This window comes from Homo sapiens, chromosome 2 (genome assembly GCF_000001405.40).
Source record: "Homo sapiens chromosome 2, GRCh38.p14 Primary Assembly".
Lineage (NCBI taxonomy): Eukaryota > Metazoa > Chordata > Mammalia > Primates > Hominidae > Homo > Homo sapiens.
Window position 1 is genome coordinate 43,234,366 of NC_000002.12, and position 25,432 is coordinate 43,259,797.

The following is a 25,432-nucleotide window of genomic DNA, read 5'->3' on the forward strand; positions in this document are numbered from 1 at the left end:
CACCATCTTGAGAGCTCCAGATAAGTCCCCCAGGACACTTGCCCTTTAGTGTCCCCGTTCCCCATGCTGCTTGCTCTGCAGCCTAGAACCCAGATTTAAACCAGGAAACAGAAAAGGGGAGGGGGTGAAGGTGCATTTTGGCTGTGGGTCTGAGCCATGTGTTGACTGGGCCTCTACCTACAATACAATCTCCATTTTTACCTCTACCTAACTCCTTTCTGCAGTTCTCAATTGGCTGAGAATCTGTATAGAGAAGGGATAATTAAGTGGCCTTTTTCTTTCTTTTTTCCCTTCAACTTTTATTGATTGATTGAGACAGAGTCTGTTGCCCAGGCTGGAGTACAGTGGCGTGATCTTGGCTCACTGCAACCTCCGCCTCCTGGGTTCAAGCAATTCTCCTGCCTTAGCCCCCAAGTAGCTGGGACTATAGGCATGTGCCACCACACCCAGATAATTTTGTTTTTGCCCAGCTAATTTTTGTATTTTTTGTAGAGACTGGGTTTCACCATGTTGGCCCGGCTGGTCTCAAACTCCTGACCTCAAGTGATCTACCCACCTCAGCCTTCCAAAGTGCTGGGATTACAGGTATGAGCCGCTGCACCCAGTGGGTTTATCACTCTTTTTTTTTTTCTCAGACTGAGTCTTGCTGTATTGCCCAGGCTTGTGTGCAGTGGCGTGATCTCAGCTCACTGCAACCTCCACCTCCCGGGTTCAAGCGATTCTCCTGCCTCGGCCTCCTGAGTAACTGGGATTACAGGCTCCTGCCACCATGGCTGGCTAATTTTTGTATTTTTAGTAGAGATGGGGTTTCACCATGTTGGCCAGGCTAGTCTTGAACTCCTGACCTCAAGTGATTCACCCGCCTCAGCCTTCCAATGCGCTGGGATTACAGGCATGAACCACTGTGCCCAGCTTATCACTTTTTTGTTGTTGTTGTTTTGTCTTGAGACAGAGTTTCGCTCTTGTTGCCCAGGCTGGAGTGCAGTGGCACCATCTCGGCTCACCGCGACCTCCGCTTCCCAGGTTTAAGAGATTCTCCTGCCTCAGCCTCCCAAGTAGCTGGGATTACAGGCATGCGCCACCACACCCGGCTAATTTTGTATTTTTAGTAGAGACGGGGTTTCTCCATGTTAGTCAGGCTGATCTCGAACTCCTGACCTCAAGTGATCTGCCCCCTCGGCTTCCCAAAGTGCTGGGATTACACCCATGAGCCACTGTACCTGGCCTCCCACCACTTTTTTTATGGTCTCCTTAAGGCAAGGACTGAAAGCCCAACAGGGAAGAAAAAAATTTCATCATCCATCAGCAAAATCAGTATCTGCAGCTCAAGTGACATTCCTGTTGAGTCCATAAAGAACCTATGGGGGTGACCAGAGATGCCACCAAGGAAGGCTAGGCTGCTGCACTAGCCCCACCTGACAGGACAGGTAGCCTCTATCCTGCACCATTTTTTTTTTTTGAGACAGAGTCTCGCTCTGTCGCCCAGGCTGGAGTGCAGTGGCGGGATCTCGGCTCACTGCAAGCTCCGTCTCCCGGGTTCATGCCATTCTCCTGCCTCAGCCTCCCGAGTAGCTGGGATTACAGGCACCCGCCACCACGCCCGGCTAAATTTTTTTTGAATTTTTAATAGAGACGGGGTTTCACCGTGTTAGCCATGATGGTCTCGATCTCCTGACCTTGTGATCCACCTGCCTCGGCCTCCCAAAGTGCTGGGATTACAGGCGTGAGCCACCACGCCTGGCCCATCTTGCACCATTTTGCCATGAATCATGGTTAGGAAGGGGCAGGAGAGTGGCGGGATGACAGGCAAAAGGGAAGAGCTGGTGTGATGTGGCCAGAAGTGGGTCTAGATAGAACTCTTAACTACCCAGACTCCAAGCCTGCAAGGCAAGGACAGAAGAGGAAGGAATGCTGAGATGTTTTGGGGATGCGGGGGGAAGGATGAGTTGGATTTAGATCTCCTGCTTGAGGGACCAGCTGCAACCTGCCAAATTCGGTCTCTTACTACCTTGCCCTGGACTAAGACAGCTCAGCCAGAACTGCCTAGATCTCTACTGGCCAAATGCCTTATGAAGGGAGGCTGGAGTAGGGAGAGGAATTTGTCACTTAAGCATGCAGGCCAGCTAGGCTCTTACAGGCTGGCCAGTCCATCAAGGAAACAAGAAAGCAAGCAGCCAAGCAACAAGTGTGTTTTAAGAATCTGCTGAGAGGCTGGGCTCAGTGGCTCACACCTGTAATCCCCTAATTTTGGGAGGCTAAGGTGGAAGGATCACTTGAGACAAGACCGTGTTGCTACAAAAAATAAAGAATCTGCTGTGTATCCAAAACAATCTTGAAAAAGAAAACAAAATTGGAGGACTCACACTTCCTGATTTCAAAACTTACTACAAAGCTATAGGAATAAAGACAGCGTGGGCCGGGCACGGTGGCTCACGCCTGTAATCCCAGCACTTTGGAAGGCCGAGGCGGGTGGATCATGAGGTCAGGATATCGAGACCATCCTGGCTAACATAGTGAAACCCCGTCTCTACTAAAAATACAAAAAAAAAAAAAAAAATTAGCCAGGCATGGTGGTGGGCGCCTGTAGTCCCAGCTACTCGGGAGGCTGAGGCAGGAGAATGGCGTGAACCCGGGAGGCGGAGCTTGCAGTGAGCCGAGATCGCGCCACTGCACACCAGCCTGGGTGATGGAGCAAGACTCTGTCTCAAAAAAAAAAAAAAAAAAACCAGGGAATAAAGACAGCGTGGTACTGGCATAAGGATAGACATATAGATCAACAGAACAGCAAGGGCAGATTACACAAATCAACAGACTGAGAGTCCAGAAACACACCCTCACATTTATGGTCAAATGATTTTTGACAAGGGTACCAAAATAATGGGGAAAAAACGGTCTTTTCAACCAGTAATCCTGGGACAACTGGATACACACCTGCGAAAGAATGACGTTGGACCCCTACCTCACACAATATACAAAAATTAAAATGTACCGAACACCTAAATGTAAGAGCAAAAACTAGAAAACTCATTTGATTTTTTTTTTTTTTTTTTCTGAGATGGAGTCTGTCTGTCACCCAGGCTGGAGTGCAGTGGCGCAATCTCAGCTCACTGCAACCTCTGCTGCCCAGGTTCAAGCAATTCTCCTGCCTCAGCCTCCCTGAGTAGCTGGGATTACAGGTGCCTGCCGCTGTGCCTGGCTAAACTTTTTATATTTTTAGTAGAGACGGGGTTTCACCATCTTGGCCAGGCTGGTCTTGAACTCCTGACCTCGTGATCCACCCGCCTCGGCCTCCCAAAGTGCTGGGATTACAGGCGTGAGCCACCACGCCCGGCCTTGAGCCACCACGCTTGGCCTTAGAAAACTCACAGAAGAAAACATAGAAGTAAATCTGTATGACCTTGAATTAGGCAACTACTTCTTAGATATGACATCAAAAACACAAGCAACACTAGAGAAACTGGGCTTTGTCAGACTGGGTGCTGTGGCTCATGCCTGTAATCCCAGCACTTTGGGAGGCTGAGGTGGGTGGATCACCTGAGGTCAGGAGTTCGAGACCAGCCTGACCCAATAGGGTGAAACCCTGTCTCTACTAAAAATACAAAAATTAGCCAGGCGTGGTGGTGGACACCTGTAGTCCCAGCTACTTGGGAGGCTGAGGCAGGAGAGTTGCTTGAACCCAGGAGGTGGAGGTTGCAGTGAGCCAAGATCGTGCCACTGCACTCCAGCCTGGATGACAGAGCAAGATTCCATCTCAAAAAAAAAAAAAAAAAAAAAAAAAAAAAAAAAAGGAAGGAAAGAAGGAAGGGAGGGAGGAAGGAAAGAAGGGAGAGAAGGAAGACTGGGCTTTGTCAAAATGGAAAACTTTTGTGCTTCAAAGTAACATCAAAAAGAAAGTGAAAGGATAATTCACAGAAAGGGAGAAAATATGAACAAATCCTGTCTCTGACAAGGGACTGTATCTAAACTACATAAAGAACTCTTAATACTCTTAATAAACACATGAAAAGATGCTTAGCATCATTAATCATCAGGAAAATGCAAATCAAAACCCCAGTCACATTCCACTTCACACCCACTGGGATGACTATAATAAAAAAAAGTTAAGTTTTGGCAAAGATGTGGAGAAATTGGAACCCTCATACATTTTTAGTGGGAGTGTAAAATGGTGTAGCCACTTTGGAAAACAGTCTTGCAGTTCTCCTCAAAAGATTAAACCTATGACCCAAAAACTGCACTCCTAGGAGTGTATCTAAGAGAGAGAAAAAAGACACATCCACACAAAAACTTGTACATAAATGTTCATAGCAGCCTTGTTCATAAGAGCCAAGATGTGGAAATAACCCAAATGTCCATCAGCTAATAAATGGATAAATAAAATGCTGTTATAAATTCATACAATGGAATAGTAATCAGCCACAAAAGGGAATGAAGAAGCAGGAGGTCTAGGTGGGAAGGTAAGACAAACACCCAGGCAACAGCAGGGACATCAGGTGCTCAGTGGAGTGGTTCACATGCCAAGAGCTGTGGGAGCTGGGGGTTGGTGGGAGGAAGACGTCAATGTGGGGAATAAATGATCTCCGAGGCTCTTCCTCCCACCGGCTACACTGCTAGGGCAAGAAGAAATATGCCCTAGAATCTTCCTGGAGTGCTTCAAATGGGTGGGGTTAGCTGGTACACATTCATGTCTGTGGTAGGCCTACACAAGTGGGATTAACATGTGGTCATTTGGAATCATGTTGGAAATGTGATGGATCAGCATTTAGAATTGGTTAATCTGGTGCCTTCCATCCTTGTGAAGGGATAACTCACTGGGACTGCAGAGGAGGGAAGCAAACCAGAGCCTTCAGGGCTGCTGCAGTATAGCCTTCATCTTGCTACTGCCCCAGCCACATCAGGGCTCCCCATCCAAGGCAGATGCCTAGCTATCAGAAACCCTGTTATGTGCTGATACTCCCTGGTGCTTCTTCTCTGCCTCCACGATGAGCGCCTCCACCCCCATCCCCCGCCCCCCAACAGGGCTGGAGGTGAAGACCCAGGCCTCACACAGTGTGTTGCCTCCACTACAAATCTCAGCCTCTGATTCCCCCCACTAGGGGAAGTGATTATTAATTTCTAGGCAGGTAGACAGGTAAGTCACAGACTTTGAGGTTGCTTTCAACTACTGAATGAAAGAAAGATGTCAAAGTGGATGTCTTCCAGGTGCCAACCTTGAAAACTATTTCAGACCACGGATTAAAAAGCCCATGGTCTGATTTTAAAGTATTATGGGGGAGATGACTTCTAGACTAAGGCCATTGGTCAAGTCTGCCTTCTAGTCCTTCTCAAGAGAGGGCAATCAGCATAGTAAATGCTGTGCAAATGGCAATGGGTTGAATTCTCCCTGCCCCTAGCTCTGGAGAATCCTCCTTCAGGCATCTGAAAAATCCCTCAGCTTTAGGGGACTGGCCAAGGTGTTGGGTGGCCCTGCCATCCAACCAACTCACCACCCATCCACCCACTCACCCATTCACCCATCAATCTGATATTTTATCTACCCACAAGTATTTATTGATCACCTGTGTGTGGAGGACGCTGTGTGAAACATGAGGAAAACCACCCAGAAAACCACTCTAAGAGAGAGAAGAGTTGCCAGAGGCAAGCTGACCCACACGAAGTGTGACGAAACAGTCGAAGACGGTGTGTGACACAGACAAATTATATCATGAGTAGGGGTAATCAAAAGACAGAAAGGAAAAACAAATGTGGAAGGAGGAGGTGGCTTCACAGACAGGCTAAGCAGGGTGGGTGAGAGGACACACACAACCGAGAGGCAGTGAGGAGCCCAAGCTTGGGCCGCAGGGAGACAAGCTGCCCACTAAAGGGAGGACTGGAGGCGAGGCCAGGCAGGCTGGGGTGGCCTGGGCAGCAAAGGCAGCGTCTGACGGAGTGAGTGTTACTGCACTTTCTTTTTTTCTGAGCAAAAATACATTCAGGTTTCATGAGGCCGTTTCCAGATAACCTCATTATTTCTAGTCTTCTCCATGGTCGTCTTCACTTCCCCTTAGCAGGGGAAGAGCCTGAACTTTAAATTAGTCATGAAAAACAAGCTCGGTTCAGCTGACTCTGCCAGTCAACATTTCCTGGGGCTGCCAGAAGCCTCTCAGTCCCCTACCTCCCCTTACCCTCTACTCCGAGACTAGCCAGGGCTCTCCACCCACCAGGGCCATCAGAGCCCAGGCTCAGAGCTGGGATTCCAGGTGGGGCACTCTGTGAGTACATTCATGGCCATGCTATCAAATGCCATCATTTCAACCTTTACCACCAATTAAAAGCTCCCAGCTGACCCCTACTGGAGACAAATGGCCCAGAGGAAGGTCAGTGTCCTAAGGAATGGAAGGGGATCATCTCCCCAGCTGCAAAGAACCCAGTAGGAAGTCTGGGTCGGGGAACATAGGTGTTTGTGGTTAACAGTCTCTGTCCTTTATCTGAAAATTTAAAAAATTTCATCAAAGAAGAACCAAATGTGCTGGCCAGAGCTCTCAAGGGCAGCCCTAGTCCCAGCATGCACTGGGCCAAGTGCCAGGGCCGGGTGCAGCACCAGGACTATGGCCCACCCTCTCTCTGCCCTCGTCCCTGTCTGTGCCCTTGTCCACAGCCATCCCTTCCCCCAAATCCCTACCTGGCCATGATATTAAGTCTGGGGGGAATTCAGACTTCACCGGGCCCAGGTGGACCCCTCTTCCTTTTTTTTATGTTTATTTTTTTGAGACAGGGTCTCACTCTGTCGCCCAGGCTAGGGCAAAGTGGCACAATCACAGCTCACTGCAGCGACCTCCCAGGCTCAAGTGGTCCTCCCACCTCAGCCTCCCTGGTGGCTGAGACTACAGGCACAAACTACCATGTCCCCCCTAATTTTTGTATTTTTTGTAGAGACGGGTTTTGCCACGTGGCCCAGGTTGGTCTTAAACTCCTGGGCTCAAGTGATCCACACACCTAGGCCTCCCAAGGTGCTAGGATTACTGGTGTGAGCCACTTTGCCTGGCATCCTTTTTGTTTTAAGTCTTAGAGCCTACTATTTAAAAGAAAGTATATGCGGAGGCAGAATCCAAACACACACAACTTGGGTTCTAAGCTGAGTTGTGTCAGCTAAACTGTACTAAACAGTCCCTTTGCACCCCTGTCTGGACTTACCAGCAGTGTCTGGACAGGGGTGCAAAGGGACTATTTAGTACAGCTCACATGGATTTAAAAAAAAATCAGGGCAATTCTCATAAAGATCCAAATTTCTAGCATCTTTTGAAAATTAGGAAAATCAGACTGTGGTGTCTCTAGGCCTGCATTAGAAGACGGCAGCAGCTGCTGGAGCAGAGCGGTGGCCACGCCTACAGAAGGCGGATGCTTCCAGCCTGGGACCGCCCTACTGCCTCCCATCGCGCGCCTTTCACGTGCGTGCTCACTTGAGTGGTCTCTGTGGACATGTGAGTTGGTGACCCCTGTGAAATGGTACTGAAGAAGGCAGCTGGCCCCAGGCCCTCCCCTTACTTTTACAGGAGAGAACACTGAGTCCCTCAACCAAACCTCATCTCAGTGGTCTCCCCACACTGCTATCTGGGCCTTCCCCCTCCCTCCAACTCTCTTGGCTTTGATTCACTCACCATTCCCTGCTCTGGGGTCCCTTCTTCCTCCTTTTCACTTAGCCTGCCGGCCTGTCCCTCAGGACGCAACGCAGATCCTGTGGTGTTTCTCAGCCCACTGGGGACTTTTTCTCCACTGTATCTGCACAGTGCTCAAGGTGTTCACAGATGCTGAGGGGGGCACTTCATGGCTGAACCCTGTGTCTTTCCTTTCCCAGGACTGTCTATAAAACCAACACTGGGTACTGCCCAGATACCACCCGCTTAGCACTTGACTGTGGTCTTATACTATGCAATTTACTTGTGACTTGCATTTTCCCATTGGGGAAAAATCCAAGATTGCAAGAATAAGGTCTAGGTAGATAGAATTATTGTTGCCATTTTATACTCAAGGTGACTGACATTTAGATAAACAACTTGTTCAAGATCATACAGGATACAGGTTGCAAGTGGTAGGGCCAGATACAAATCCAGGCTTATCTGACTCCAGCACTCCAGCACCTATATTCTTTTTTCTTTTTTTTTTCTGTGCAGACAAGGTCTGGCTCTGCCACCCAGGCTGGAGTGCAGTGGTGTGGTCTCAGCTCACTACAACCTCCATCTCCCAGGTCAAGCCATCTTCCCATCTTAGCCTCCCAAGTAGCTAAGACTATAGGCACACCATCATGCTTGGTTAATTTTTGTATTTTTGGTAGAGACAGGGTTTCACCATATTGCCCAGGCTGATCTTGAACTCATGAGCTCAAGTGATCCACCTACCTTGGCCTCCCAAAGTGCCGGGACTACAGGTGTGAGCCACTGTGCCCGGCCCAGCACCTACATTCTTGACCACTTTGCTAAGCTGCTCATAAGTACTGAATACATGGATGGATGGATGGATGAACAGAATGATTATTTTCCGTTTTCCATTCTGTGCCCCTCCTCCACCCTGCCCAGTGCCCCAAGATGCTGATTTCAATAGACTGCCTTACCCAGGTGTCCTTGCCACCGGGCTTCTAGCTGACTTCTCCTAATGTGAAGGGAGCACTGGTATACTGGAGGGTAGAAGTGAGAGGAGTTGGCGGTATTTCTTTCTTGCACCCTCCCCAGAAAGTTGCGAAGATTCTAGCAGTGGCTGCATCCCTCATGGCTAGGGCACCTGCTGGGCAGCTCCTCCTCCCTGACTTCCACTATTCCTGGGGTCTCCCTTTCAGCCAGAGGGGTGGGAAGGGCTTCCTACTGTTCTTGTCTGTAGGTGCCTCAACATCATGACTGCTTCCCTTCACCCATGGTTCTCAGCCAGAGGGCACACTGCTCCTAGGGTACATCTGCCCGTGTCTGGAGACATTTTTGGTTGTCAGAGTCAGAGTTGGTGGTGCTACTGGCATTTAGTAGGTAGGGGCTAGAGATGCTACTCAACATTCTACAGTGTTCACGATAGCCCTACCACCCCAATTAATGTCCACAGTGCCAACGATGAGAAGCCCTGCTGTAGGCCTGCCTCCAATCTCACACAACCGCAAACAGTCCCTTCGTGAACGTCTCTGTGAGTGCTCAGTCTAGTACGCCGGTCTCTATTTGGGGCAGATGTGGAGGGGCTCATCTCCTCACCTCCTTTGTTCTGAAAGGCATCCCCTAGTTCACCCTTCCTCACCAGCTCCTGGGCAGAGAGGTGGCCACAAATGAGAAGCAGCCCCTTCCCAGGCACAACCTGCCGCAGAGCCCTTTCTGTCTTGAGGGGAAAATGTGATTCCAGGTCTGAAGGGAAGGGATACAACACCATCATTTGAAATTTTAAAACTACTTGAGAGAAAACCCTTTAAAATTCTAAGAATTTGCCTTTTCTTCATGCTTTAGCTATTTTCAAATGGAACAAATGGCCTGGGTTCCCCAGAATACCTGCAGGTCCAGTTCCCAAAGAATACAAACTCCACAGAAGTGTTACATGCCTAAAACCTATGACTGCCTGATGTAAACATGTTTCCTGGTGACCTATTATGAAACCAGAAATACCCTAGCAAATCCTTTGTTTTCATTTAAAAGAAAAGATAATTTCAAAATCTTTATTATTATTTTTAATCAACAATACATTCCAAAAAATCTTTATTTTTAAAGTTAAAATAACTATGATTTTAAAAATGTGGGCCCACCTCAAAACACTGGGTAAATAAAATTTTTCCCCTGATTTTAAAAATGGACACAGCCAATATGAATGAAAATAAGCAATTCATAAGAGTTAAAAAGTGTGCACTTCTTATTCAATAGGGACATACTTCACCAAAAAGGGACTGATAAATTATAGCCAGTTAACAGTACACTCAGCTCAAACCCTAGAAAAATACTTGCATTTGTTCACTTCAAACCACAGTAGCAAATAAGGAATGGATTCAAACAAATATTGCTCTCAGAAAATACCATCTGTGAAAAAGACGTGGTTCTCCAGGGGGCTTACAACCTGGAGCTGTCACAGCCTCCAGCCCTTCCGGGTGCTTCCATTATACCCAGTTTTGTGTGCACCTCACTCCTGTTTCCTGTGGCAATCTCTGGAGCTCAGCAGGAAAGGGTACGGCACCCATGGGCTGTTCATGTGGGCTTCATGGCTGTTCTGGAGCAGGTAATAAAGGCCAGTCCTTGGGGCCCTGGTGTGTGAAGGGACAGCAGAGCAAGCAGTGGGCCCTGTCCAGCCATTTTGGCCTGCATTTGGCATTCTTGCATTTGGTGACGATTCCTTTGGGGCCTGAACTGTGTCAGGCCTTTCCTGTGAAAAGTGCAAAGCCAGTCCCTCCACAGCAGATGAGTCCCTCCCTATGCCTGCTCCTTGATGATTTCACTCTGCAGAGCCTCCCAGAGGGTTCGATCGCCTCCAACTCTGACCAGGTGGTAAGTGCCTTGCACTTCATTCCTATCTGCATGGCCACTCACCCCAGAGCACTCCTCCTGGACATGGCAGCACCCAGCCCTCTTCTTTCCTCCCTACCCCTGTGTCATGAGCCAGTGACGGAGGCTTCCACAGACTGGCAAGTGCTGGGCAACCTGAGGTCTGCCTTCCATCAGCCTCCTCTCCTCTGCCTGGGCAGAGTTCACCAGCTCTGAGGACACATTCCACATTCCTCACTGACCAGCCTGGATCTTGAAACTTCTCTTTTTCCTTTCCTTGAAGTCACTTCAGTTTTCTTCAGCTTATTTCACTACTGGAGCTTCTTTCTTTCTTCTTCTTTTTTTTTTTTTTTTTTGAGACGGAGTCTTGCTCTGTCGCCCAGGCTGGAGTGCAGTGGTGTGATCTCGGCTCACTGCAACCTCTGCCTTGTGGGTTCCAGCGATTCTCCTGCCTCAGCCTCCCTAGTAGCTGGGACTACAGGCACATACCACCACGCCTGGCTAATTTTTGTAATTTTAGTAGAGACAGGGTTTCACCATATTGGTCAGGCTGGTCTTGAACCCCTGACCTCAGGTGATCCACCCGCCTTGGCCTCCCAACGTGCTGGGATTATAGGCATGAGCCACCACGCCCAGCAACTTCTTTCTTTTATAAGAAAGTAAGTCTTCTTGGCCTGAGCTCCTAAGACTTACTGGTTCCTTCTGAGTTCTTTGTGAAGCTTCACTGGCCCTCATTGTCACCTGCCTGGTTTCCCACTCCCACCCTCAACCCTCTGAGCTTACTCAGGGCTTCAGGTGGGAGAGAGGAAAAGCAAATGACTGATTCATTTCAACAGAGCTGTCATGAGCAAAAGGCACTGTGCTAGTCTTGAAGAATGTGCCCAGTCAAGGTACTGTAAACACAGCACAGAGCTCAAGAAAGGGGACTGCTTGGCTCCCAAAACACACTGGTGGGATATGGGTGGGTGGTGCAGATGGTCCTGAGGTGTAACTGAAGACTAGAATTTGAAAATCAGAAAAACTCAAGAAGATAATGTTTCTCTCTTGAGGACTTTAACATTACTGCCTCCCAGCTTTATGCAGAATCCAGAAAGTGTCTTACTAGATACTCGCCTCCCAGCCTTATCCAGAATATAGAAAGTTCCCTTACTAGGCGCCCACCTCCGAGCTTTATCCAGAATCCAGAAAGTCTCCTTACTAGGCGCCCGCCTCCCAGCCTTATCTAGAATCCAGAAAGTTTCCTTACTAGGTGCCCACCTCCCAGCCTTATCTAGAATCCAGAAAGTCTGCTTACTAGGCGCCCACCTCCCAGCCTTATCCAGAATCCAGAAAGTTCCCTTACTAGGCACCCGCCTCCCAGTCTTATACAGAATCCAGAGGCTGGACGTGGTGGCTCACGCCTGTAATCCCAGCACTTTGGGAGGCTGAGGCAGGCGGATCACTTGAGGTCAGGAGTTTGAGACCAGCCTGGCCAACATGGCGAAACCCTGTCTCTACTAAAAATATAAAAATTAGCCGGGCACGGTGGTGGGCGCCTGTAGTCCCAGCTACTTGGGAGGCTGAGGCAGGAGAATCACTTGAACCCGGGAGGTGGAGGTTGCAGAGAGCTTAGATTGCGCCACTGCACTCCAGCCTGGGTGACAGAGCAGGACTCGTCTCAAAAACAAACAAACAAACAAACAAACAAAAAAAAACAGAATCCAGAAAGTTCCCTTACTATAGGCACCCTACCTCACCCCCTAGGCCTTTACAGCTCTAAATAGAACAAATACAGTTTATGGTAATGCAATGACCAAATCAAGGTATAAATGACTTTTAAACTCACAACATGATTTTAAGATTTATAAACAGTGTTCAAAATGAAAATGCCTGTGATTTCAAAATTTCTGGGAATTTTATATCTTGAAATGGAGTTTACTCCCCAGAGCTCTCAAGGCCTTTCCTATCTGTCCCCTGTGGCCAACACTCCCCAGCAGCCTCCCTGGAGTGACTACATTTCCCAAAGGCATGGGAAATCACCGCTGACATGGCCCTAGGCTGACGCTGAGTGTGGAGAAGCCTGGAAGGCAGGCAAGAGAAGGGAGAGGTCCACAGAAAACCTTTCAGGAACATGCCAAGGAAGGGAGAACAATTCAGAGTTTAGAGGGCAGCAAGACTCTGGGTTTTGGGCCAACTAAAAAGGAGGAATGCTCAAACTGTTGCGGGATGGATTGAAATTACCTGCTAAGAGGAGCATTTGAGTCTTAAGGGTTTCGAGACTCCAGGGGTCCACTGCCCAGAAAACTTCCCTTCCTTTAAGCACCAGGTCTTCAGTGGAGAAGCTGGGAGGAGGGACTCCAGGAAGAGGCAGGCTGTTTTCTACTTTTCAGTGAATGTTAATAGTGAAGATAATCAGACTACACTGAAAATGGCAGCACATGAAAAAAATTCAAAGTAACCGACCCCAGAAGTCATTTTGTTAGTAACACTAAAAACTGCAAATAACAAGACAATGACTGGGGGAAATTGTGATTTGGTGGAAACAAACACAAAAAATAAAACTCACAAGTTCTAAAACTGGGCATGAAAAGTCCTACTGACTAAAATTGTTGAATAAAAATAAAATCACTATTAAAGGCTGGGCACGGCCGGGTGAGGTGGCTCATGCCTGTAATCACAGGACTTTGGGAGGCTGAGGTGGGGAGATCACCAAAGGTCAGGAGTTGCCAACATGGTGAAGCCCCGTCTCTACTAAAAATATAAAAATCAGCTGGGAGTATTGGCAGGTGCCTGTAATCACAGCTACTCGGGAGGCTGAGGCACGAGAATCGCTTGAACCCAGGAGGCGGAGGTTGCAGTGAGCTGAGATCGCGCCACCGCACTCCAGACTGGCGACAGAGCAAGACTCCGTCTCAAAAAAAAAAAAAAAAAAAAAAAAAAAGGGGGGTGCTGGGCATAGTGGCTCATGCCTATATTCCCAACATTTTGGGAAGCTGATGTGGGAGGATCACTTGAGCCCAGGAGTTCAAGCCCAGCTTGGGCAACATAGTGAGAACCTGTGGCTACAAAAAATTTAAAAATTAGCTGAATGTGGTGGTACATGCCTGTGGTCCCTGCTACTTGGGAAGCTGAGGCGGGAGGATTACTGGAGCCTCAGAGTTCAAGGCTGCAGTAAGCTGTGATCACACTGCTGTACTCCAGCCTGGGCGTCAGAGCAAAACCCTATCTTAAAGCAAAACAAAACAAACAAAAAAAAAGTTGATATTTAAGAAAATAAAGGAGAACTTTAGGAAATGCCTTCACTGCTCCATACAGAAATATATATATATATATATATATATATATATATATAGAGAGAGAGAGAGAGAGAGAGAGAGAGAGAGAGAGAGAGAGAGAGAGAGACAGAGAGAGAGAGAGACAGAGAGAGAGAGAGAGAGACGGAGTCTCGCTCTGTCACCCAGGCTGGAGTGCAGTGGCATGATCTCGGTTCAGTGCAACCTCTGCCTCTCGGGTTCAAGCGATTCTCCCACTTCAGCTTCCTGAGTAGCTGGGATTACAGGCGTGCACCACCATGCCTGGCTAATTTCTTTGTATTTTTAGTACAGATGGGGTTTTGCCATGTTGGCCAGGCTGGTCTTGAACTCCTGACCTCAGGAGATCTGCCCGCCTTAGCCTCCCAAAGTGCTGGGATTATAGGCATGAGCCACCACGCTCGCTCAGTAAAGAAAATTGATTAAGGAATTAAACTGGATTGTAGGAGTTACGATGGAAAATAATTTCTTGATGAAATGAATTAATGTTCATATAATTCAGATTAGAAATTTGCATTTACATAGAGTCACAGTGTCCTCCAGGTCAAAATATTGAAATCAAAACACATGGAATCCGTTTTGAAAGTTTTGTACCTGAAGGAAGAAAAAGGACACAAATCTCCTCCATATTTAGCCCTCACTCAGAAGGAGCGGCCCGGGCCGCTTCCACAGGCTTCCTGTCCCCACACTCTCAGCCTCGTGCCCAGTCTGACTGGGCTCTCTCGGCAGTGTGTGCAGTGCTCTGGAGCTCTCTGGAACTCTGAGGCGCCCTCCTCTGCTGCTTCCTGCTTTACTTTTTCTTCTCCACAGCATCTCATGCTCTGCCTTCACCTCTGTATGCACAGTAACCTGTCTGACAATTGTGCCCCTTTTTAAACACCTCTCAAACTTGTCACCTCTCCATCCCCACTGCCACTTCCTTGGTCCATCCTCACCATCCTTCCTCTCAGAACAATGGTAGCCTTCCTTTTTTTTTTGAGATGGGGTCTAACTATGTTGCCCAGGCTGGGTGGAGTGCAGTGGTGCAATCATGGCTCACTGCAGCCTCAACCTCCTGGGCTCAAGTGATCTTCCCACCTCAGTCTCCTGAGTAACTGGAACTACAGACACACGCCACTACACCCAGCTAATTTTGCATTTTTTGTAGAGACAGGGTTTTTGCCATGTTGTCCAGGCTGGTCTTGAACTCCTGGGCTCAAGCATTGCTCCCACCTTGGCCTCCCAAAATGTGGGGTTACAGGTGTGAATCGTTGTGGCCGGCCAATGATGGTAGCTTTCTAAGCAGGCTCCTTGCTTCCAGTCTTGTCTAGACTCCAAGCTTTCCCCTTCCCTGTGGTCAGGGTGACCTGTCTAAGACAACTCTGACCTGATTATGTCTCAGTCTAAAAGCCTTCAGTGCTCCCACAAGGCCCAAATGTCCTACATCCTTAACATTAAAGACTCTTTCTACGTGGCTTCCCGGCCCCCTAGTTGCAGGAAAAAGTAAGTTCACAGCTCTCTTATATCCCTCCCTCATCACTAGTGGATTGGCTGTACCAGCCATGGGTATTTTAGGCTTACAATTTCCTTCATTCTGGGTGGCTGAGTCCCTTTCTCTTAAGTTCTTCCTGGGCCTTAGTCAAATCTTTTCAAGTGACCCTGAATCTTCTCAGTACCCCATCCCCTTCCCACCCCCATCCAAGCTGTCTTTCTTCTGATTACCAGCATCTCTGTGGTGACCATACTCTTTTTTCTTCGGTTTATTTCCAGATCTAACAGAATGATGACATTGTGCCAATTCTCAGTGTCTTGGGAGGTGGGGATAGGTTGGAACATGCCTGCTATTCCTTGTCAGAGCAGACCTGGGGAGGATGTCCATCAAGAAAGGACCTCCAGTTCCTCAATAAGTCAAAGAATTACCATGTGACCCACAATTCCACTCCTAGGTACATACCCAAGAGAACTGAAAGCAGTACCCAAATAAAAGCTTATACATGAATGTTCATGCAGCACTATTCACAGTAGCCAAGAGGTGGAAACAACACAAATGTCCATCCATTAATGGATGAATGGATAAATAAAATGTGGTAGATCCATACAATGGACCATTACTCAGCCATAAAAAGAACTAAAAGTGCTGATTCACGCTACAGCATGGATGAACCTTGTAAACATTATGTCTAATGAAAATAGCCAAGCACAAAAGGTCATATATAAATCCATTTATATGAAAAAACTTAATAGGAAAAGTCACGGAGACAGAAAGCAGACTGGCAGTTGCCAGAGGCCAGGGGATAGTGGGGACTACTTAATGGGTACAGGGTTTTTAGGGAAGTGATGAAACCGTTCTGGAACTAGATAGTGGTAATGACTGCACACGACTGTAAAAGTACTAAACGCTACTGGAACTGTATACTTTAAAATGATTAATTTTATGTTTATTTCATCTCAATAATATATAAACATGAAAAAAGAAAGGGGCTGGGCATGGTGGCTCACACCCGTAATCCCAAAACTTTGGGAGGCCAAGATCGAAGGATCCTTAAACCCAGGAGTTTGAGACCAGCCTGGGCAACATAGTGAGATCGTTTCTCTATAAAAATAAAATAAAATAAAATAAAATACAGTAAAATAAAATAAAATAAAAGGACCCTCATGGGGATGGAGCAGGATAGTGTGTCAAGAACAGAGGACAATGGGTAATTCAATTCTGTGTCCCTGAGGCGTTAAAGCAAAGGGAATGGGCAGGAAAGTGGGCCCATTTGCTTTAAAGGGATTGGGCCTCTTCAATGAGTATTTCTCCCCAGGATGCATTCTCCAAAGACTAACCCTAAGAAGGGAGGTGAGGGGTGGACAGACGAAGGTGAACAGAGGGGTTAAAACAAGAGTGAAAAGGGGTCAGGCCTCCTTCCCTGTTTGCTGGGGTCTGGGCTCACACAAGGACAAGAAGACTGGAAAGGTTGCAGCCTGAGAGGGGTGGTCTGCACAGCCACCAAGAAGGGAACCCTTGCTTTCTGGTAATAAAGCAAGACATTTCACATCTGAAATCACCTGCATGGTAAGACTCAAATGTAAGTGGATCCTGTGAAACACAGTTTTATGCAGAGAGCAGAGATCAGATCAGATCACAAAGCTGCAAAGAGAAATCTCTTTACCTAAATTACACAGAACCACTCGTCTGGTTTCCATTTCACTGCCTGAGTCTGTTTTATAGTTGTGCTTTTTCATGAAGGCTTTTAAGGGAGGCTATACCCTGACATCATGTGGAAAAAATGTCCAAATACAATTACATTACAGAGCAGCACTCTTGGAAGAGAAGGCAGCCCTGAAGCCTGCTGGTGTCCTGTTTCCTCTCCTTTAAACCCATTTGTTGCTCTCTGCTCTCTAAAAGCAGAAGCCCCCAATCCCAGCTCACCTGGTCTGCTTCCTGTCTCTGTCAGCGTGCGAAACACCGGTCTGGGAAATACAGCAATCTAAGGTACTGTGGGACTGTGTACTCCCGAGTGGGAGATGTGGCAGGGCCACAGGGAGCTGTGTCCAGCTGGGGCATGCCTAGCACCAGCCCACAGGCCTGAGCCAGCTTGTCTCATGTCATGCACCTTACAATCATGGTGAGGAAACAGGGCCTCCCTCTGTTGGCTTTCTCAGAAATCTACTCCAAAACCTCCTACCTCCTCCCCTATCCTCATGCCTTTTTCAGATGTGTCCCCATGTTCAGGGAATAGTTTTTCTCAAAAGCTCTTATGAAAAAATAGTTCCCCTCAATTAAAATCTGTCATATTGTGAGCAAATTCTCCATATGTGTCATCTTTTCCGTGTTTCTTCCTCCTCCCGGCAGAAGCTACCATTCTCCTGATTTTCCATTCGGGGCTGTTCCTTCTGTCCCTGAGTCTCTGACTTGGACGGAATAGCAAACTCCTTCTGCCACTCCTAGATAATCCCCCTGCCATTCCCCACAATCTCTCTTTTGAAGTCCATACTAACCATCTCCCCATTCTTGCTGGCTACAGACCTGGCCTTCTTCAATGACTGCGCCATGGCCACCCCATCTGGGACTTCCACATCCATAAAGATGTCCCTCCCAGTATTTGCTTTCACCATTTTTCAACCTCTTCAATTCAAATACTCCCCATCTCTGATTTTACTCTACTCCCAATTAACCATGATGACATCTGAGAACTTGTCATTATTTAGAACTGTTTCAACTCAAGATCTCAAATTCTAAGTTTTATCATCACTTTGAAATGAACATCAGTATCATTGCGAACGTTTAGTGGGTACTTATGTGCAAGGCACTATCATATGTACTTCATATATATTAATTATAATGACCTTTTAAAGTAGGTTTTATGAGCCCCATTTTATAATGGGGTATAACAGAGAGACACAGTTTAGGATTTGGGATTTAAGCCACATAGTCTACACACTATGGCTCCCACATCATATGGCCTCTTTAATATTCCTAACACGACTGTTTAACCTTCTACCTTTTCCACTGAAATTACCCACGCCCCCTACTCCTGACCACATCCTTGACCTTGCCCTCTCTCCCAGGCTATTATTCTACATTATCCAGGATTCCCCAGGCCTGTGATGATCTTCCTAGTCCCCAGTGCTCTTGTCAATCTGATCTGCCACCAGGCTCAACAATGTTCCCTAGCCACCTCTCCCCAAACCCAATCTACTGTTCTACTTTGAGCCACCAATTCCAGCTGAGTAGCGGCAGTCTGCTGATGAAGCTGTCTATAAACTCACGCTGTTTAATCTCAGCTGGAATCTCCATGTCCTCTGGTAATTCTTTTCTTCCTATTCTGGTGACTCCTAACTGATCCTCTATATAAACTGTTCCAATCTTTTCCCTGTCTCTACATCTTACTCCCTAACCACTCATTCTTGACTTCTTGACTTGACATTCTTGATAATCTTGACTTCTACAAGGACATTCAGCATAAGCTCAAACTTCCGTCCCCCTCAAAGTCAAAGCTTCTCTAATGACTCTTTTGAAACATTGGCTTGAAGACAGATCAGGGTCTAGAAGATGTGGTTTTAGGGCAGGGGAGTGATGTAAATATTTGTATGAGAAGGAGCCACTGGAGGTAGAGAAGGAGAACCTGAAGACGCCTGGGAGGAAAGGGAATCGTGGCTGGATAGAGGTCATGGGGGAGGTATAAGGTGCTGTGTGAAGGATGTGTGCAGGGGAAAGAGCACCTTTTTTGCTGAGTTTGAATTGGGGAGGATAAGAAGACAGGTGATGTAGCAGAGTGGTCAACACTTGGGCCCTTTGCCTACCTCCTACTTACTTCTAAACTCCTTAAAGGTGGCTCTAACCTCCCACTACTGAACCTTCTCTCTCAACTCTCACTCATGACATTTTCTCAATCCTCATCGTCCTTAACCTGACCTTTCAACAGTGTTTGCGTGGGTGACCAAACCTGCCCTCTTGATAGTTTTTCCTTATGTGGGTTTCATGACAATGGAACCTCTTGGTTTTCTTGATGGGTCTTCGTTATTCCCTTTGCTAGCTCCCCTTCCAAACTGCTACGATGGCCTAAAAATGCTGCCCACCTTTAATTTCTCTCTCCTCTCCTGAGCTACTCATCTCTCTTTTTGCATTCACTCATTCAATATATAATTATATTAAGTACCTACCATGTGCCAAGTACATGGCAGCTATTAAACTGTAGCTGAATTAATGTTAATGTGTAGCTCTGATCACGCTGCTTATTTGCTCAAAAATCTTTACTGGTTCTCTGATGTAAATGATATCCAGGTTCTTTGGCCTAGCATTCCAGGTTTTAGCAGACATCTGTTGTTTTTGCTGCCCACCTTCCATTCGCCCTCCTTTGGATAGCTGTCCCCAGTCTCCCTCTGGAGACCCAGCCCCTCCACACCTTTTAGTCCATGTGGTTTGGGTGGGGCTAACCCTACCCTCAACTCCAGGCATGGGTACCCGCTCCAGACAGGTTCCAGGCCTATCCCTGAACTAATCTCAGAGGCCAGGAATATGATGCCCTCACTGGCATCTGGCCCCTGAGATTAGATCAGGGATAGGCCTGGACCCCAACTAGAGCCAATAAAATGCAATGGGATTGTACTGACACAGGACTTGGACTTGAATAAATGAAGATGTAAAGGCTAGAGCTGCTGTAGCCATCTTAAACTCCAAGAAAAGTGTGAGCTGATCGAAAACAGAACCAACCTAGGAGCAGAAGGGAGAAATGACAAGAAACCAGGTCCTTGGGACACTGTTTGAGTCCTTGAATTATGTCATGTCTTAAGCCAGTCTTAGCCTTGGAATTCTCAGTTACACGATCCAGTATGCCTCCCTTATGCTGAAGTGGGCTGCATTGGACATTCTGTCACTTGCATCTGAAAGAATCCTATTTGATCCAAAGGTCGTTTGTGTCATCCCGCTTCATCTCACCCCACCCTACTCACGCACTCGATGCTTGTACCACACTAACATTCCTTTCCTGAACAGGCCTCATACTCTGCCACCCATGTCTTTCTGGAATGTTCTCCATCTTTCTCATCTTTTCCTCTTGAAATTCTGCCCATCCTTTAAGGTTTGGCTGTAATGAACTTTCCTCCAAGCAGCCATTCTTCTCTAATTTCCCCCAATGACAAATGTTTGTTGGATAAAGTCTAACTGAACACACAGTGACATGGAGAACCTGGATCCAAGGTTCCTTAAACCTGATGCAGAGACCTGGGCCTCCAGCAAACTTGTTCATCTCCCCTCAGGGCTTGGGACTTGTTTTCTCGGTCCCCCCACTGGTCTACATCCTTGTCTCCTGCACTCTTTGGTCATCACTTCCCAAAAAGTTTTTCTGGGGACACTGGCTTTTTGGAATGTTAGTAGATATTTAAAACAACATAAAACACTCCAAACTTCAAAACCAACCAAAGCAGCTTTACTCCAGCTGGAAACTAAAGAGTGTAACTATTTAGTAAGTTTGGGAAATTCTGGGTTAAACAAATATTTCTATTTTAAAAACCTGGGGAGGTGGGGATGGGGGCAGAGTATGTAGCTTTTCTCCAACTTACTCATAAAGCAGGTACCAGAGCAGAGGGACGTACCACATTCTTCTCTGAAAACATATTTAGGTTTAAGGTAGGTGCGGGTTATTTTATATACACATATAAATATCCTACTCTTTGTTCAAGGTGCCTATTTGCTCTGCACAGTGACTATTATGAACACAGAAAACTGTTCATTGTTAAATATGGCATGCTAAGTGGTTTTGCTTTCTGGCAAATCTCCAAACCATAATTATTAAGGGACTGGAGCTGCTGAGGAATTCTTGGGTTACAAGAGGCTTTGATCCTGTTCCTGCCTTCTTTCCCTGACATGAATTTCCACGGGTGTGGCTGACTTTCATTGTTTTTCACTGCTGTGGTGCTGCTGTGAAGGTGAAGGATTAAACAGAACTTCAAGGTGACAAGGGATTGGGCCCCCCAGAACTGCTGAGAGGAGGCTCTGGCTAAACCTCTCCCGCCTTTTGGAGCCCCAAATGGCTGTAACCAAGGGAATGCACAAGCTCCATCCAAGTATTGGAGTCGGGGAATGCTGTGGCCTCTAATATTTGGTTTCCCACACACCCCGGGAAGCTCAGATTCTTAGGCCTCACTCATTATCGGGTTTCCAGCTGGGGTGAAGCCTCTGTCTGTACTAAACGGCTGACAGGACTTTGCTCAGCAAAAGGCAACAGGCCCCGGGTGGGTGAGGCTTTGTTATTTCATTCCCATCAAAGGTGAGAGATCTGATCCAAAATTCTTTGGGCAACTACAGCCATTTGACGTGTGTAGCCCTCAAACTCATGGAGCTGCCTCCTTTACAGGGTCAAGAAGACACCTCAGCTCGGTCACAGACCATTAGGTGAACTATTGAAAGAGCCAATCTCCTTTCTACTGAAACATTTGCTGAAATGTCAAGGGGCACATAACTATTCTTTCAGGCTCTTTTAAATTCTCCCCTGCCTGTAAGAAGAGGTAAGAAAGAACACCTGGATGTTCATGAATCCAAGATAGAAGGAATAAAAACACTCCTCCCAAAATGAAGTGGTAAGGTCCTCTTAACTTGGTGAAGAAAAGGCTTCTCTAACAAACAGAAACCCGCTTACGTCTGGGTGCGGTGGCTCATGCCTGTAATCCCAGCACTTTGGGAGGCCAAGGTGGGAGTTATCACTTGAGCACAGGAGTTTGAGACCAGCCTGAGCAGCACAGCGAGACCTTGTCTCTCTTCTACTTTTTTTTTTTTTAAACCAGTTAGCATTTGGATTGGGGATAGAACCTTGCTCACTTTTTGACATTGTATTTATTTATTTTTTTGAGTCTGTCTTCCAGGCTGAATGAAGTGCAGGGGCATGATCACGGCTCACTGCAGCCTCGACCTCCTAGTGGGCTCAAGTGATCCTCCTACCTCAGCCTCCGAAGTAGCTGGAACCACAGGCACATGCTACCATTCCTGGCTAATTAAAAAAAGAAAAATAAATAAATAAATAAATAATTTTTTTTTTTTGGTAGAGACAGAGTATGTTATGTTGCCCAGGCTGGTCTCAACCTCCCAGGGTCAAGTGATCCTCCTCCCTCAGACTCTTGAGTAGCTGGGACCACAGGTGTGTACCATCAAGCCCCCCTAATTTTCTTATTTTTTGTACAGATGAAATCTCACTACGTTGCCTAGGCTGGTCATGACCTCCTGGGCTCAAGTGATCCTTCTACCTCAGCCTCCCAAAATGCTGGGATTATAGGTGCGAGCCACTACACCTGGCCAACATTCGTTTTTATTCATATTTTAATACAAACAAAATCACCTTCATTTTATACAGAAACTGAAGCCAAGAGAGTAGAGCCAAATAGCTCAGGATAGAGAGGACTCCCTGATTCCCAGATCAGTATTCTCTCTCCAAGATGGCAACTGTCCTTCAAAGTTTTCTTCCCAGATGGGAAAACGCCTCCCATCTGGTAGACAGGTAGAGGTCCCTCTGTTGGTGGGTGGAGAGGGGGGATGGAAAAACAAAGGCAGACAGAGAGAATGGGAGAGAAAACAGACATCAGAGTCCTTGAAGGTAGCAACTAGCAACCAGAAGCTTCTAACACAGGGGGACGTCAGAAAGTTGTCCAGACTACCTGTTTTGGGAGGGGACAGAGTGGAGTTTCCTTCAAGTGTCTGCTCCCACTGGGAGAGGCAGAGAGGGAAGGCACAAGGCCCCTGGGGCGCTTGTCTCTAACCCCAAACCCTGCGCCTCCCTATGACAGGCTGCTTCTCACTGCATAGGAGTCAGGCAATCAATCATAAAGAGGAGAGAGGAGGCTTCTCCCGGGCCAGCGGGGCCCAATTCCAAAAGGCTGGGCTTCGGGGCAGCACAGGAGGCTTCCGAGTCTCCTTCTCTCTTGAATAGGTCAACCTAGTGATGTCTCCCTTCACTCGACCACCTCAGTCTATCCCATTCCCCACTTCCTCCGTTGGCATCTGTTCTAGGAAGATGTGCATGAGTTCATTCCAGATATGGAAGGCCTTTCTCTCAGCTCAAGGTGAAGGTCAGTGATTCACATGGCTAAAAATGAATTTAAGGCCACCTATCAATAAAAGCAAAATGAAACACACACAAAAAGTTAAATTCCCCTGCTATTTAAATTACAGCAAGGAACATAAAACCTTATTTAGTAATTACAACCAACACTCAAATATGTAAACTTTAATTACGTGTTACGGATCAGTGAGAGCAAAATGAGGAAAAAAGAGGAGAGGTGAGGGTAGGGGAAAGTCACAGACTAAAAGAGAAAGTCCAGAGGCAGGCAGCTCAGAAGCAGAGAAGCCAGTGGGAGGAAGGGGAGGTACAGAAAAGCAGGAGTTGGGGATTCAGCAGGCTCTGGGGCTGAGGTGACGTGTCATGCCCTGGACAGTGCTTATTAGGTTTATTACTGACACCTCCTACTGCTCTTGATCCTCACACTTTCAGGTGCCTCCCTTAGAAAGGGAGAGCCCCAGCGGCCCACGGAGCAGGCTTGCAGGATTAAATGCGAGACACTGAGTAGGTCTGAATTTCAGGTAAACAATAAATATCCTTTTAGTGTAAGTATTCCCAAATATAGCATGGGGCATACTTATACTAAAAAAAAATATTATTTGTTGGCCAGGTGCGGTGGCTCATGCCTGTAATCCCAGCACTTTGGGAGGCTGAGGTGGGCGGATCACCTGAGGTTGGGAGTTTGAGACCAGCCTGACCAACATAGAGAAACCCTGTCTCTACTAAAAATACAAAATTAGCCAGGTGTGGTGGTGGGTCCCTGTAATCCCAGCTACTTGGGAGGCTGAGGTGGGAGAATCGCTTGAGCCTGGGAGGTGGAGGTTGTGGTGAGCCGAGATCGTGCCATTGCACTCCAGCCCAGGCAACAAGAGTGAAACTCTGTCTCAAAAAATAAATTAATAAATAAAAATAAAAATAAAAATTATTTGTTATTTATCTGAAATTCATTTAACTGGGTGTCCTATATTTTTATTTGCTAAATCTGGCAACCTTACACAAGAGACCAAATCATTCTTTGGACGACCTCAATGACCAGGCCAATATTTACACTGAGGGCCAGGGGGAAATCAAGTTGAAGGTCACTTTTAGAAATGAAGAATGAAGCAGCACAGAGACTTTGCTAAGCAGGATAGAACTTGGCAACTGGAGGATATCGACCCTCAAGTTTTCTCATCCATTGGCTGTTTATTTCCAGCTGTTCTCCTCCAGTACAGCTGAGGCTGTTTTGGCCCCCTCCCCCTGCCAAAAAGGTTAGAAGGACTAAAAACAGTAACTCTACACAGGGCTCACATTGGGACTATGGGTAACTTGGCCTGTGTGAGGCCTCCTGAAGATTCTGGAGGTTCTGTGGTGGAAAGTGAACCTTCTGGAGCACTAAGGAACCAGGCCAAAATGAAACACAGTCTGTAAGTTCTATGGTGTTAAAAAAAATCTTAATGTCAACTGCTGTCAGTTTCAGAGTGACATGATGGAGCCCATTTCACCAAGTCAAGGGGAGGGGGTCAGTGAAGCTGCCATCAACTAAAAGCTCCAGGTTCACCCAGCACTTGCTGAAGAGGACCCAAAGTGATACTGATAGGGGTCACTACTACTGCCCTTGCTAGGGGGCCAGAAAAGGCTGTCTTGGGGCTGAAACTCAAGACTACTCAAGACTACTAAATTCAGAGCTACTGCTCCTGAGTCTTGATCCATGAATGCTGGCCAGGGAAACCTGGCAAGGTCAGGAATCACAACCATTGGCTACAACTGAGATAGTACATGATTGTCCGCTCCCTGCCAGTCCATCCTACTCTGACTGCACGTCCTGCCAGTTCACGCATTTATGCTCCTTGCCAGGCCCCTGTAGGCAGCAGAGGCCCTATAGGCAGTAATTCATAATATGGAGCTTTCTAGACTTAAAAAGATTACAGAGTTATAGAGAATAATAACAACTTATTATAGCTGACAGTGGAATCACTCCAGATGTTCTGTTCTGACTTGCTTTTTTCAGTTAACAATATATCACGGATGCCTTTGCATGTGGGTTCATACTGATTTACTCCATTTTTAACTGCTGCATAGTATGTGGAGGTATTAACATTTACTTAACTAATCCTTTGATGAATATTTAGGTTATTCCTTTTCCTGTTATAAACACTGTTGAAAGGAATACCTTATACAT

The 25,432-nt window shown here is 46.9% G+C and overlaps 1 protein-coding gene across 7 annotated transcripts in view, besides 1 other annotated feature; it reads right to left on the reverse strand.

The window, feature by feature from the left end:
* THADA (THADA armadillo repeat containing) overlaps positions 1-25,432 on the reverse strand; it is a 365,188-nt gene that overhangs the window by 3,515 nt on the left and 336,241 nt on the right. The window lies entirely within an intron of this gene.
* Positions 24,185-24,479: a silencer, noted in NCBI's record as "tiled region #2712; K562 Repressive non-DNase unmatched - State 23:Low". NCBI's record gives its function as "represses a minimal TATA promoter and a strong SV40 promoter by Sharpr-MPRA in K562 cells {active_cell/tissue: K562}" and the evidence as "EXISTENCE:reporter gene assay evidence [ECO:0000049][PMID:27701403]".